Raw genomic sequence first — 14,059 nt, 5'->3', positions numbered from 1 at the left:
AGGCTGAGCAGGAGCAGCTAATGAAATAGGAGGGAAAATAGGAGACTGTGGTGTGGGGAAGCCACGTGCTGAGAGGGTCTCAAGGAGGGAGTGATTGGCTAATGGCATCAAGTGCTGTAGTGCCTAGTGAGAAGTGGAGTTAGCCATGTAAGAATCAGCATGGCCTTGACAAGAGCTGCACTGGAGGGATGCTGATGTCATGCCTGATGGGAGTGGGCTTGAGAGAGAGGAGATGGAGATGCTCTGGGGCATCAAGTAGAGACAACTCATTGAGGAGTTTTGCCATGAAGGGAAAGAGAAATGAAGGAGGAGCTGTAGGAGATGTAAGGTCAAGAGGGCTTTGATTTTGTTTAAATAGAAAGAATAACTGAAGAATAGGAAGGAGCCAGTCGTTGAGAAGCCTGGGGAAGAGGCTTCCAATAAGGAGCAGCCAGTGCAAAGTCGCTGTGGCTGTGAACAAGGGAAAAGGCCGCATGTGATATGGCTAGAGACTTAGGAAGAGGGCAACTGCAAGAGTCTTTGTAGCCAGGGTAAAGAATTGGGATATTATTCTAGGTGCTGACGAAAGCTATGGAAGGATTTTAGGCAACGTAGTGACATGATCTTGATTCATGTTTTAAAACTATTTCTCTGACTATATATTGCATGATTTCAGTGACAGGAAATGTTCAGAAAATAAAAGCATACAGAGATTGAAAGTAGATTAGTGGTTTCCTTGGCCTGGTGTGGGTAGAGGGAATGGGGATTAACCATACATGGGCAGGAAGAATCTTTCTGGGGTAATAGAAATGTTTTCAAATTAGAATGCAGTGACGGTTGCACTAAATTTACATTGAATTTTATACTTAAAAAGGGTGAATTATACCTTAATAAGGTTCTTTTAAAGATTACTATGGCTGATATAATGGAGACTTATTTAGGGAAGTATGAGTAGTAGCAAGGTGACAAGCAAATGGCAACTCCAGTGTCTAGATAAAAACCATCAGTGTTGAATGTGGGCCCTAGGAGCAGAAGGGGCCAAGTTCTTCTAGGCCAGGAGTTGGCAAACTTTTTCTATAAAGGGCCAGATAGTAATAAATATTCTAGCTTTGTAGGCCATATGGTCTCTGTCACAGCTACTCAGTTATGCCGTTGTAGCCCAAATACAGCCACAGACAATACATAAATGAATGAGTGTGGCAATGTTCCAATAACATTTTATTTGTGGACACTGAAATTTGAATTTCAAACGGTTTTTACATGTTATGAAATATCATTCTTCTTTAATTTTTTTCAATCATTTTAAAAATATATAACCATCCTGAGGTTGCAAGCTGTATAAAAACAAGTATCCCGCTGTAGGCACCTGCTGAAATCAACTACAGCCCCCAGCCCTTTCTTCAGAAGACTCCCACGGGCCTGCATGCCAGGTGATGCTTGGCCCACAAACCTTTGCAACAGGAAGACAGAACTCATCACCTAGGGACTCCTGTTCTACTCCTTCAATACACGTAATTACTGTCAGAAAGGTTTTCCCATCCCATGCTGAATCAGTGCATTGTCATTCTGTTCACGGATGCTATTCAGCTCATTGCACAGGCATTTTTCTCCCTTGGAGTTGATCTTCTTTCACCACACTAAGTTTTTGGTAGGATTATTATTCCATTTTTTCCCAAGGGGATTTAAAGCAATGTTATCAAGACTTTCCCCACCCCCACCCACTGTATCTTTCACTAAGAACTCATATAAACCCCATGGCTCTGACCTAGCTGTTAATCTTTCTAGCTGTTTAAGTTCTTTGAAGTCAATTTATCCTGCTCAGAAGATAGGTAAGTAGTATATGGTAGGTATTTTAAAACTCTTTTGGTTCCTCCTCCTCTTCAAAGCATGAAGCCAGCTAAAGAATTCATCTGCTATAATCCTGAGCTCTGGGCTCCTGGATACTGAAAGATATGAGAGCAGTTTCTATCATCCAATATCTACATTGCATTTAGCTAAGACTCCATCCCTTGATCGCTTGATCACAGTCTATTTCTTGCCGTTGTTCATTTTAAGCTATTGATTAGAATCTTAAGGCAGTCACCAGCTGGGAGGATGGTTTGTCCTCACATCTATGATAAAAGAAACATAATCTTTAATCCAAAGCCTCCAAAACATTGGAATGAGGATAAAAGAGTGCGCTAAAAAATGGCTGGCAGTGAGGCAACAGCTAAAAAGTTATATTTCCTTACTCAGTGTTCAACCTGCAATGGATTTTGGCAGCAAACAGACTGGACTTCCAATCCTGGTTCTCCCAGATGCATTCCCTTGGGCCTTATGTTTGTCTGAGGCTTGGTTTCCTAAAGCTATAAAATAAGAATTATAACAAGCCATTAGTAGTGTTGCTTGAAGGACCAATGGGTTACTATATGTAAAACTCCTAGCACATCAGATGGTCAACAAATATTAGGATCTTCAATTCTTTTCTGTCATTAGGTATTTTTTAAAAGCCAGCCCCTCACCTTTTGGTGTTCTCTCACAGCCCATGGAACCAAACTACCTAAGTTTGAAGTCCAGGGCTGCCCCTGCCAGCTTAATGACCTTGGGCAAACTGTCTAGAATCCCCAGGCTTCTGGTTTCTCTTCAAGGAGGGAGAGCTGATATCTATATGGAAGGTTACTGGCTGAACGGACCGTCGTAATGCCTCAGAACATGTGTCACTCACTGTGGCTAGCCCACACCCGCTGACACTCCAGTGTGTATTTCCACCTCTCCACAGCGCACTGTAATTATGCTATATCTGATCCAGCACCTTTTGGCTGCAGAGTTCAGTGAGAAAGGCAGGTTTGCTCATCAAGCTGAACTAACCTTGGTTGATTTGGGACCCTTGTTGATTGGCGGTAACACACTGTTTAATTAAGACTCTGGAGCATTTGCCTTCACCGTCCACACTCCCGGCTCCAGGGCTGCTGTGACAAAACACACAGACATATTGCAAATTAATTTCACAAGACTCTTGGGTGACTTCTTGGCCCATCAGTCATAGCAACACTTCTCAGCCCTTCTCCCGGGAGTGTGACTGGATTTCTAACCCTTCCACCTCCCAAAATGCTTTGAAATGGCCATTCTGTTTGTGTTCAATATCAGGCTTTTTACTGGCACTCCAAGATGGTATTTTGAAAGCAGGTGAGTAAAACAGAACACTGTGGACAAGGGACTTTAGTATCTGAGAGACCATGGTTCAAATCCCAGTTCTCCTGCTTAGAAATCATGTGACTGGGAGCTGGGGGCTGCACGTCAGAACCCTGGGCCTTTATCTTCTGTAACTCAAAGATCAATGCCTGTCCCATGGGATGCTTGAGAAGTTGAAATAACAGACTGTGCTCAAAATGGGAGGATCAATACATTGTACTCTAGGGGATGAAACCCCTGTTTCCTGTACTCTCTTAGGTTTAGTTTATGAGGTCCTGCAAATTAAACTAACAAAAGTTAGATTACAGGAGAAAAATGTTTTTTTTCATATGCTTATAGGAGTCCTCACAAAAATGAAATAGAAACCCTAAAGGGAGCTGGGCACAGTGGCTCACGCCTGCAATCCAAGCACTTTGGGAGACCGAGGCCGGTAGATCAAGACCAGGAAGTAAACCTAGGCAGTCCTCCAACGCCAGGGTCTGTGCTTGTAACAACTATGCCATGAGCTCCACAAATGCTTTTTGACTGAGTTCAAGACCAGCCTGGCCAAGATGGTGAAACCCTGCCTCTACTAAAAATACAAAAATTGGCCTGGCATGGTGGTGGGCACCTGTAATCCCAGCTACTCGGGAGGCTGAGGCAGAGAGTTGCTTGAACCCAGGAGGCGGAGGTTGCAGTATGCCGAGATCGTGCCACTGCACTCCAGCCTGGGCGACAGAGCGAGACTTCGTCTCAAAACAAACAAGCAAAAACAAACAAAAATACCCTAAAAGGGCCATCAGACTTGGGGACTTATATATCACTTTAACAATAAGGTGACCGATTTGTGGAGAAGTGACAAGACAAAGGAAAAGAGCTTTGAGCTTCTAGAGGCAGTATAATGTGGGAAGGAAATATATGGGGAAACCAATGGATGCTAAGGTTTATTTTTGTGAGGTTTGTGTGCCCACTCAGCACCCACTTTCCGTCTTCTTCTTGGCCATAAAACTCTCCCAGGGAGAGAGAATTTCTCAGAAGTGTCTGCACATAGTCAGGTAGGAGAAGCTCCAAGAAGGCTTCTTCCTGCATCTGTTGATTCTCGATGGCCTTCCACTCAAAATAATCCATGTGCCCAAAGTCGCTTATTAGGGGATAGTATATTTTGGCTGGCATATTTTGATCCCCTTCAATAAATAATTATTATTGTCCTGTCATCACATGACTTGCTTTTCTGCAAGTGTCACGGAAGAAACAAAGATTTATAAATAATTATCCAATAATAGTCATGAGAAATGTAGTGAAATAATGACAACTTAATTTTACGGTAAAATTTTGGATATCTAATTCAGTCTTTTAAAGATATAACTTTGAGGACTCACTCTATCATATGAAGAACATTATCTGTCTTGCTTACTATTGGAGTACCAACATCTTTTCTTATTTTCATTATTATCACTATATTGTTGGTGCAGAAGTAATTGAGGTTTTCGCCATTACTTTAATTCTATCACTTATTTGTTATACATTTATATAGCACTTGCTCCATGCCAGACACTGTCCGCTACAGTCTACAAATGTAACATATTTTAATCCTCAGGACAGTCTTGGGTGAGGCACAGAGAGGTTTAGTAAGTTGCACTGCAGAGCCAGGAAATAAACCTAGGCAGTCCTCCAACTCCAGGGTCTGTGCTTGTAACAACTATGCCATGAGCTCCACAAATGCTTTTTGACTGAGTGAAGGTTAAGTAAGTTAGCCCAGATCACAATGGCCAACTCAAGATTCAAGTAAGATCTGTCTGACCTTAAACCCAGGCTCTCTCCCTGTCCTAGACTGTCCCAGAGTGGTCCAGACTTGCAAAGGGAAGCGTAAGGCCAGATAGTCTCAGTTTTACTGTCAGGTGAAGTCTAGCCAGTCTGAAGTGTTCCTTTATAAAACTCTCTCCAAACTATGGATGTTCCAAATATTGCATGAGATACACTAAGATATTATTCACTGTTATCTCAAATTCAAATGGTGTCCTGTGTTTTTTACTTGTTAAATCTAACAACCTTAATCCAAACATGTAGTTGACTTGGCCAATGACAAAGAATTAAAAAACCAGGGAGAAGTAAAAATGCATTTTTCTCCAAGAACAGTATCAGTAGGAATTGTAGTCTTCGAGTAATAAATCTTAGCATGTCGGCCAAGCGCGGTGGCTCATGCCTGTAATCCCAGCAATTTGGGAGGCTGAGGCAGGTAGGTCATCTGAGGTCGGGAGTCGAGACCAGCCTGACCAACATGGAGAAACCCTGTCTCTACTAATAATACAAAAATTAGCCGGGCATGATGGCACATACCTGTAATCCCAGCTGCTCGGGAGTCTAAGGCATGAGAACCATTTGAACCTGGGAGGCGGAGGTTGCAGTGAGCTGACATCGTACCACTGCACTCCAGCCTGGGCAACAAGAGCGAAACTCTTCTCAAAAAAATAAAAATAAAAATAAATAAATCTTAGAATGTTTACTCTTAGTAAATGGAAGAGGGTGGTTAACATAATGAAGCAAGAGTCAAAAAGAGAGAAATTTGTAGCTATTATATAAATGTAAATAATTGTTTTTCTACTATAAGTTTTTATCTTTTAATTCCGTATTTCTCTGGTATGATGCTGAGTTCTGAAATAGATACAGAAGAAGAAGGGGGAAAGAGGAGAAAAGAGAGAAAGATAAGAGAATGAGAAAGAAATTAAGATTCCTAATATCTACCATATTCCAGAGATTGTACTAAGCACCATATTTCATTCTCATTTAATCTTCACAAAAATACCTTCAAAGTAGTTATGACTCTGTCCATTCTACACACGAGGCTCAGAAAGGGGAGATAATGTTTGCGCAGTGCTTGAGGTGCCAAAGGAAAGAATCCTCACTCAGCAGGAATTGCCTGCCCACTTCCACCCCCAGTCACCCTTTGCTGGAGAGAACGCTAAGTCCTGGCTTCACCAGGTGCTCACTCTCTCTCTCCCTGTCCATCTCTCTCTCAGTGGAGAATTTAGCACAGCCAGCCTTGAGTGTGAATTAGTTGGGCATGTGTCTACATCTTCTAAGTTACTAAACAGCTCAAGGGAAGTGGCAGTGTCTACTCTGTCCCTGTGTCTCCAGCCTGAGCTTGATGCCTGGTATGGATTGTGAGCATAACGATGTGCCAGGCACTGGGTTAAATGCTCTGGATTCATTATTTTAAATCCTCACAAAGACCCTGTGAGAGTTCTCTTAACTGTTTTGCAGATGAGGAAAATTGGTATTCAGAGAGTAACCAGACTTATGAGAATAGGTGAATTCCACGAAAGCCCCAGCTTCTTGCTTCCTTGTAAGACCTGTCTCTTTGGGGTGGCATCTAGAACAAATGCCAGTCACATAGCTATCAATAATCAAAAAGCTATTTAAATGTTTCTGGGATCTTTTAAGAAAATTCCACAGGGCCTTCCCATTCCTAATGGACAGCAGAACTTCTCAACATGCAATTTGCCCTGAGGATGTTCCCTTCCTGCAACATTTTTCTCCAATCCAAGCGCACATTCTCTTGACTTTTCTTCCCGCCCAATTCACCTTCCAGATAAATCCAACCCTCTACCAATGGTAAATTTCTCCTCTTTTCAAATCGTATCTGTGCAGCCTGTATTTAAATTGTCATTACATTAATACCTACACAGAAAGACTGTACAGTTATCAAGTATGCATCAGATAGTGTTCAATGTGGCATCTGGCACACAGAAAGTGCTCAATAAATGTTAGCCATTATTCAATTTAGTCTCAGCTTTGCAACTGTAACTATCATGGTGATTTTGCATGGCAAATGCAAAATGAGAATGGCAGGCACAGAGTGCTGCAGAGAAGGAAAGAGACTGTGAACACACATATTCCTATGGTAATATATTTTCCTATTTATGAGAGTAAGTGATGCTGTATTTGAGGGATATTTCCCATCTCAACAGCCAGAAAATCCATGGAAGAAATATAAATGCTCCCTGAATATGTATGCATCCCCCTCTACATTCCCAGTTTTCCTGCAATAATGCAGGGTCATATAAGTAATTTTGGTATGGGCTGCAAGCAAAAGCAAATGTGTTGCTTCCTGCCAAAGCACTTAAGAGTTGGTGCATAATCCCACAGCTCTCTCCCTTCCAGTGCCACAGTGAATCAAAGTCTAAGGAGGCTACAGTTGCCACATGGAGAACTATAGGATAGTGGAACTCCATTAACTGGGGTCCCTGAGTGACTATGTGGAGCAGAGCTCCCCACCAAAATGCAGTGAATATATACTGCAAACAAGAAATCAACTTTTCTTGTTAAGCCAATTAAATTGTGGAGTTAATTTGTTACCTTAGCTTCCTAACCTCTCCTAACCTAGTACAAAGCCTTTTTCAGATTGTGATTTTAATGATTCCTCACGCACTGTTCTCAAAGGAAGGTCTGCATCCATGTGCTTAGTTTCCTAAGTGTTTGCTTGCTTCATTCCAGGTGGGCCAGAGTATCACAAGCATGCTGGGCTTCCTGTCACGTGGTCCTTCAATGAAGCTGTGCATGGGCCTGGCATGTGTCTTGTCCCTTTGGAACACAGGTGGGTCTAGCTGGAGTTCTGCAAGTGTCTGTTCTGTATAATAAGTTGGAGTATTCACTGTGCTTTAGAGAACCTCAGCAGCCAACATTTCTGCCCAGAATCCAAATGAATTTGTTCAAAATGGCAAGAATAACTTCCCTACTTCTGTTGTTCCCTTGACTTTTTGCATTTAAGTCCCATCTATGCAAAAGAATTCTCTTCACCTTCACTGTTACCACCTTTGTCCAAAACATTATTTTCCCTTTCCCAGACCATGAGACAGCTTTCCAAACCAGCTTCTCCTCTTGTCTCTCCATGACCCATTCACCACCAATCAGCCTGAGTGATCTTTTCATAAATCTTGTTAGGTCATCTTCCAAGTTCCTCCCTCTTTTCTCTCCCTCTGCCCCAAATTATTTGCGGAGTTCCTACTTCTCTCTGTGTAGTGTACCAGGTCCTTTTCAGGCTCTGCGTGACCCTGCCTCCCTCACCATCCCTGCTTCCTACCACCTCCACCTCCTTCATTCTTTATGCCCCCATCACTGTTGGCCTTCTTTCCATTCTTTAAAGTAATACTCATGCCTACCTCAGACACTGGGCTTGTGCTGTTCTGTATACATCAAATATTCCCCCAATTAGATAAATCCTACTCAAATGCTATTCATTCTTCAGAGCTCAGCTCAACGCCCCCTCTCAGGGAAGGCTTCCAGATTCCCGAGACTAGATCAGCCCCCTGTTACACACCCTCACCGTTCCCTTCAAGGTATTCAATGTTGTTTTCCTATGTGTCTGCCTTTCCAGCACACACAATGCCTAGCAAACACTCGGCACTCAATAGCACCATCCATCATTAGTAGTTGGTCAACAAATATTTGATGACGAAATGATTAAATGAATGAACAAACTAGATGCGGGACTAAATGTCACTTCACAACCCCAGATCATAATTCTCTCATCTGTAAAATGGGTATGTTGAATCAAATTATCTCCGGTATTATGTCTTGGTTATAATTTCTGTGATTAAACCTTTTTTACTTTAGTGTCTGGCATCAAAGGAGAAGCCAAGAAAGAGAAGGGAATGACCTTTTTACCTACAACAGGTAAGTGGGTGATAAGGGCTCCTTTTCAGCTCACTGTTCTTGGGCAAATTCCTTGACTTCCCCAAGCCTGACTTTCTCTACTGATAAGACAGCGATTATATCCGCATCTAACACTCTAATAGTCACAACAATGGTTCCTGTGAGCTACTCATTTCTTTATGGTTCATTGAATCCTTGTGATCTTAATAAATCCACAAAGACTGTAACATTCCATTGGTGATAGAAGATTTTATAATGGGGGGTACCGTTACTTGCCATCATCACCTTTGTAATAATTTCATCTTTCTTTGCCTTTCCTTCTTGATGCTATGAAATTCACTTTGCAGTACAATGGTGACTACATTGCAACAGAAAGGACAAGAGGAGTCTGGGAACAGGTTTCTAAATTTTAGTAAACAAGCAGTACAATTTTTTGGTTTGGTTTCGGTTTTAGTTTTGATGGAAATTGTGTTACTTTTTATACTTATTTATTTATTTATTTATTTATTTTGAGATGGGGTCTTACTCTGTCACCCAGATGGGAGTCAGGTGGCACGATCTCAACTCACTGCAACCTCCACCCCAAAGGCTCAAGAGATTCTCCCACCTCAGCCTCCCGATAGCTAGGACCACAGGCATGTACCACCACACCTGGATAATATTTTGTACTTTTGTTAGAAACAGGGTTTCACCATGTTGCCCAGGCAGGTCATGAACTCCTGAGCTCAGGGGATCCACTTGCCTCGGCCTTCCAAAGTGCTAGGATTACAGGCATGAGCCACCAGACCTGGACGATTTTTATATTCTCATTTATTTTAAATTAGTACATTCACATAGTTCAAATAGCAAAAGTTACAAAAGCGTATAAAGTTAAAATGCTCCCCCAGCCAACAGCTTCCCTTTCCTGAAAGCACCAATTGTACCAATTTATTGTGTGTAAGTAGGATAACTTTCCATAAATATTTTTCTTAGTTGAGCTTTCAATTTTCTTCTCCTTAAATGGGAACAACAATTCCTGCCCCACAGGTAATCATGAAGGATAAAAGGTGATAAAATACTAAGCATTAAGAAGTACAAAAAATGCCAGGAACCTTCTATTTTAAAGCTTTTATTATGGTGGTCTTTTTATCCAAAAATAGAAAAATATCTTTTTGTAATCTGTCAGGGAACTTATTTGAAAAATGCTCTGTATTACATCCTGTTCAAAAATCTGTGCTCCACTGGTGTTTAGTTCAGACTTCAAATATTGTTATCAAAATCAACCCAAGGAGTGGTAGAAATATTCTTTCCTTGGTGAAAGGAATAGTGCTAAAAAAAAAAAAAAAAAAAAAAAAAATGGTGCTCAGTGAAGAAGATGACACAGGGCCCACCATTCTGGCTGGAAAGGTGTAGGAATCCTGCCAGCCTGGTAGCCTGGGTCATCCCTGCTGCCTGGAGACCCCGAACTGACATAATCCTGGTCCCTCACCTGCATGGAGGACTCTGTTGCCTTGGCAGGTCACAAGCAAGGTTGATTGTGCCTCCTGCAGATCTTATAGCAGCTGGTGCAGAGTAGACTGCGCAGGTAAAGTGCCACACGGGTGCCTGAGGGGGTGCAGTGGCCTCACTCAAGCTAGACAGCTGGCTAGTTGGCAGCATTTGCCCTGCTTAAGTATGTCTGTCTCAGACTTCCTTTTGTGACATAAGCCCGTTGCCTCCAGTAGCCCTGTTATGGCAAAGGGGAGTTAGAGTCCCCACCTACCTCTAACCCCAGAAGCTTTGATATTTAACCAAAAAGCTTGGCAATTGGCAAAAGGCCAAATTGGCTTAAGCAGGCAACAGCTGACTTGACTCAGTTTCAACATGGTATCAGAAAAGCAGAAGATAGCAACCTAAATGTCCATTGACGGATAAACAGGAAAAGGAAATGTGGTATATACATACAATGCAATATTATTCGGTCTTAAATAAGAAAACGGTGCCATATGCAATAACATGAGTGAACCTGGAGGACAGTATGCTAAGTGAAATGAACCAGTCACAGAAGAACAAACACTGCATGATACCACTTTCATGAGGTATCTAAAATAGTCAAACTCACAGAAGCAGAGAATAGAAAGGTGCTCACCAGGGGCTTAGGAGAGGGAAATGGGAAGTTCGTTGTTCAATGAGTATGAAATTTCGGTTACACAAGATGAATAAGTTCTAAAGAGCTGCTGTACAACATAATAACAATAGGTAACAATACTATATTGTGCACTTAAAAATCTGTTAATTGGGATGAGTGCAGTGGCTCACGCCTGTAATCCCAACACTTTGGGAAGCCGAGGCAGGCAGATCATGAGGTCAGGAGTTTGAGACCAGCCTGACCAACATGGTGAAACCCCAGATCTACTAAAAATACAAATAATAGCCAGGCGTGGTGGTGCACACCTGTAATCCCAGCTACTCAGGAGGCTGAGGCAGGAGAATCGCTTGACCCCAGGAGACAGAGGTTGCAGTGAGATCACGCCACTGCACTCCAGCCTGGGCAACAGAGTGAGACTCCATCTCAAAAAAAAAAAAAATTAATAGGGTAGATTTCATGTTAAGTGTTTTTCAATAAAATTATAAATGAATTTTAATAAATTAAAAAGTAAAATAGAAAGAAGTGAGGGAGAAGAACATGGACAAAGAGTTGAGATTGCTCTTTTCTGATTTTATCTTAGCCACTAGCCCAATATGGTACATCAAATTTAGGTACATCAAATCAAGTTTGGGGATTTCAGTTTATCCATTCTTCAAAGTGTTGGACAAGATGATTTCTAAGGATGTTATGAACTGTTTGAGGCTGTACTTTCAGGTTACTATTTTATTCATGAAAACTTTTATTTCAGTGTCTGGAAATAAAGATGTTAAGAAGGAAAAAGATGGGACATTCCCGGGCAGCCCTAAATCCTGACTTACTCTGTAATGCAGGGCACATTTTTCAGACTCTGTGGCTTGTTGTTTTCTATTTGCAAAATGAAAATGTAAAATACAGCACCTTCTCCATCCTGCTGGTACCTATTGTTGCAATGGTCATTTTTCATGTTACATGTGATACTAGCTTTTTTTGTACCAGCTTCTTTCCTGAACCTCTCTGTGACCCCAATAAGATATGTTGCTTGTCTCATTTAATTTAATAAAATAAAATGTAAAATAATGCACCTTCTCCATCCAGGTATAACATGAAAAATGACCACTCCAACAGTCGTAGTTACAAGTGCAGTGTGATTCTATAGCATGTGATCCAAAATAACTGATCCTTCTGGTCTCTGCTTAATGTCACTTCCACAAGAAGGCCTTCTCCATCCCCTGACACCAGGCTAGTGCCCTGTGCTCCCACACCGTGTTGACACTCCTCTCTTGTCACGACATGTGAGTCTCCTCCTCCCTGACCAAATCACACACAGGAGGCCCCATGGAGCTGGAGACCGGGTTCATTCCCCTTTACCAGTTCACATTGCCTAGCATATAGCTTGGCCCTCAGTGAATATTTGTTGAATGAACCAATGAAGAACGAATGAATGCCTTTGAAATTTCAAATTTTTCTTTGACATTTTCTCCTTTGGTCGCATGAAATTTGTTAAGTAGGCAAGAGACCTAATATTTTGGGCACTGCTCTACAGTTCTAGAAAGTAGGTTCTGAACCCTTTATTACCATTGCTCAGTTGTGCAAATTTAAGCAAGGTTTTTCTCCTCTCTGGGCCTCAGTTTTCCTACTTGGTTAAAGAGTGGGGTAAATTAGACCCCCTGTATCAGAATCGCCAAGCTGATTTATTAAAATGTGCATTTCTAGGCCACAGCCACCCCACAGAGATTAGAAACTGTATTAGGGCCATGCAGAAGAGTCTGTGATCTGCCTTTCCTCAGTGTCCGCCAGTGACTCTCACACGGAGAGCAGAGGCCAAAGAGGCTTCCAAGGCTTCTTCCATTCCTGGGGGTAGGAACTGGACCACTCACATTTTTCTCATGAAAACTGTCTCCTTCCCAGTGTCTGGCCTTAGAGAAGAAGAGAGGAAGGAGAAGGGGGTGGCATTTCTTGCTACGACGGGTGAGTGCCGCTCCCCCAAATCCCTTGGGTTGTCTGGGTTGCAGAGCAATTCCTCCACTTCTCTAGACCTCTGTTCTTTCCCACAGTGGCGAGAACGTCATCTCTTTAATCATTATCTGATCATTAAGTAAAAGTTGAAGAAGACAATGTTTGAATAAAGAGGAGCATCAACAACTATTTCCATCTTGTCAACTGTTGTTTCCAAATCTTTTTTTTTTTTTAGATGGAGTTTCACCCTTGTTGCCCAGGCTGGAGTGCAATAGCACGATCTTGGCTCACTGCAACCTCCGCCTCCCAGGCTCAAGCGATTCTCCTGCCTCAGCCTCCCAAGTAGCTGGGATTACAGGCACCGGCCACCACACACAGCTAATTTTTATATTTTTAGTAGCTATGGGGTTTCACCATGTTGGCCAGGCTGGTCTCAAACTCCTGATCCCATGTGATCCACCCACCTCAGCCTCCCAAAGTGCTGGGATTACAGGCGTGAGCCACTGCTCCTGGCCAGTTTCCAAATCATTAAGGAATAGCCGGGGGAAGTGGGAATTTTAACTCCACTCACTGCACACTGCCACTCCTGCTACACCTGGGAGATTTCTCCCTCCATTCTGGGTCACATCCTGGACCTATTAATTCTGAATTTCTGAAGATGAAGGCCAGGTACTGGAATTGTGTAATTAAAAAAATGTATATTTCCAGGTGATGTCAATGCTCAGCCAGGGTGTGTGGACCCCACGTTTACATGGGGTACTTATTTTCAAACACAGAGCTGCTGAGAACTCCTGCAATGCCCTTGGGCTTCCCATTATGCTTGAGATACCTTTTATATGAGTCCCGAGTCTCTCCAAATGCAGAGATGCAATTGTCACTAAAAGTTCATGTTTCCTGTGCTTCATTGGAATTTCTCTTATCTATATTTGTCACTTTGTTGACTGTTACCTCCTGAGGTCGAGACCCTCCTCTTAACTTAACTTGGAACCCCTCGTGCCTGGCACTTGGTTTGTTTTCAGCACATGTGCAAAGAAGTTGAATATCTGCCTGAAGTTTGGAAATGAGAAACTTTTTCTCTTGCCGAGAAAAGCCTGCCAGTGACATTATCTCTGAATCTCTTTCAGAGCTGCCCGCAAGGTCAATCGATCTGTCCGCGCTTAACCTGACAGAGCTTGTGAATGGGATGCTCAGTAGAGCGTTAAAAGGTAATCATATTTTAAAAGCACAATCCAGGTC

At 42.3% G+C, this 14,059-nt stretch overlaps 1 protein-coding gene across 1 annotated transcript in view, besides 1 other annotated feature; it reads left to right on the top strand.

Moving 5' to 3' along the window:
* The first annotated feature begins 1,752 nt into the window (after positions 1-1,752).
* HHLA1 (HHLA1 neighbor of OC90) overlaps positions 1,753-14,059 on the top strand; it is a 49,678-nt gene continuing 37,371 nt past the window's right edge. Inside the window, exons 1-5 of the mRNA NM_001145095.3 lie at positions 1,753-1,808; positions 7,624-7,723; positions 8,743-8,802; positions 12,776-12,835; positions 13,948-14,028. Of these exons, the coding sequence (NP_001138567.1) occupies positions 7,645-7,723; positions 8,743-8,802; positions 12,776-12,835; positions 13,948-14,028 (280 nt within the window). The 5' untranslated portion in view covers positions 1,753-1,808; positions 7,624-7,644. The remainder of the gene's footprint in view (positions 1,809-7,623; positions 7,724-8,742; positions 8,803-12,775; positions 12,836-13,947; positions 14,029-14,059) is intronic.
* Positions 8,134-8,428: a silencer, noted in NCBI's record as "tiled region #9796; K562 Repressive non-DNase unmatched - State 22:ReprW". NCBI's record gives its function as "represses a minimal TATA promoter and a strong SV40 promoter by Sharpr-MPRA in K562 cells {active_cell/tissue: K562}" and the evidence as "EXISTENCE:reporter gene assay evidence [ECO:0000049][PMID:27701403]".

This window comes from Homo sapiens, chromosome 8 (assembly GCF_000001405.40).
Source record: "Homo sapiens chromosome 8, GRCh38.p14 Primary Assembly".
Taxonomy (NCBI): domain Eukaryota; kingdom Metazoa; phylum Chordata; class Mammalia; order Primates; family Hominidae; genus Homo; species Homo sapiens.
The sequence above is the reverse complement of the archived record's forward strand: the minus strand, read 5'-3'. Positions and strand labels throughout refer to the sequence as shown.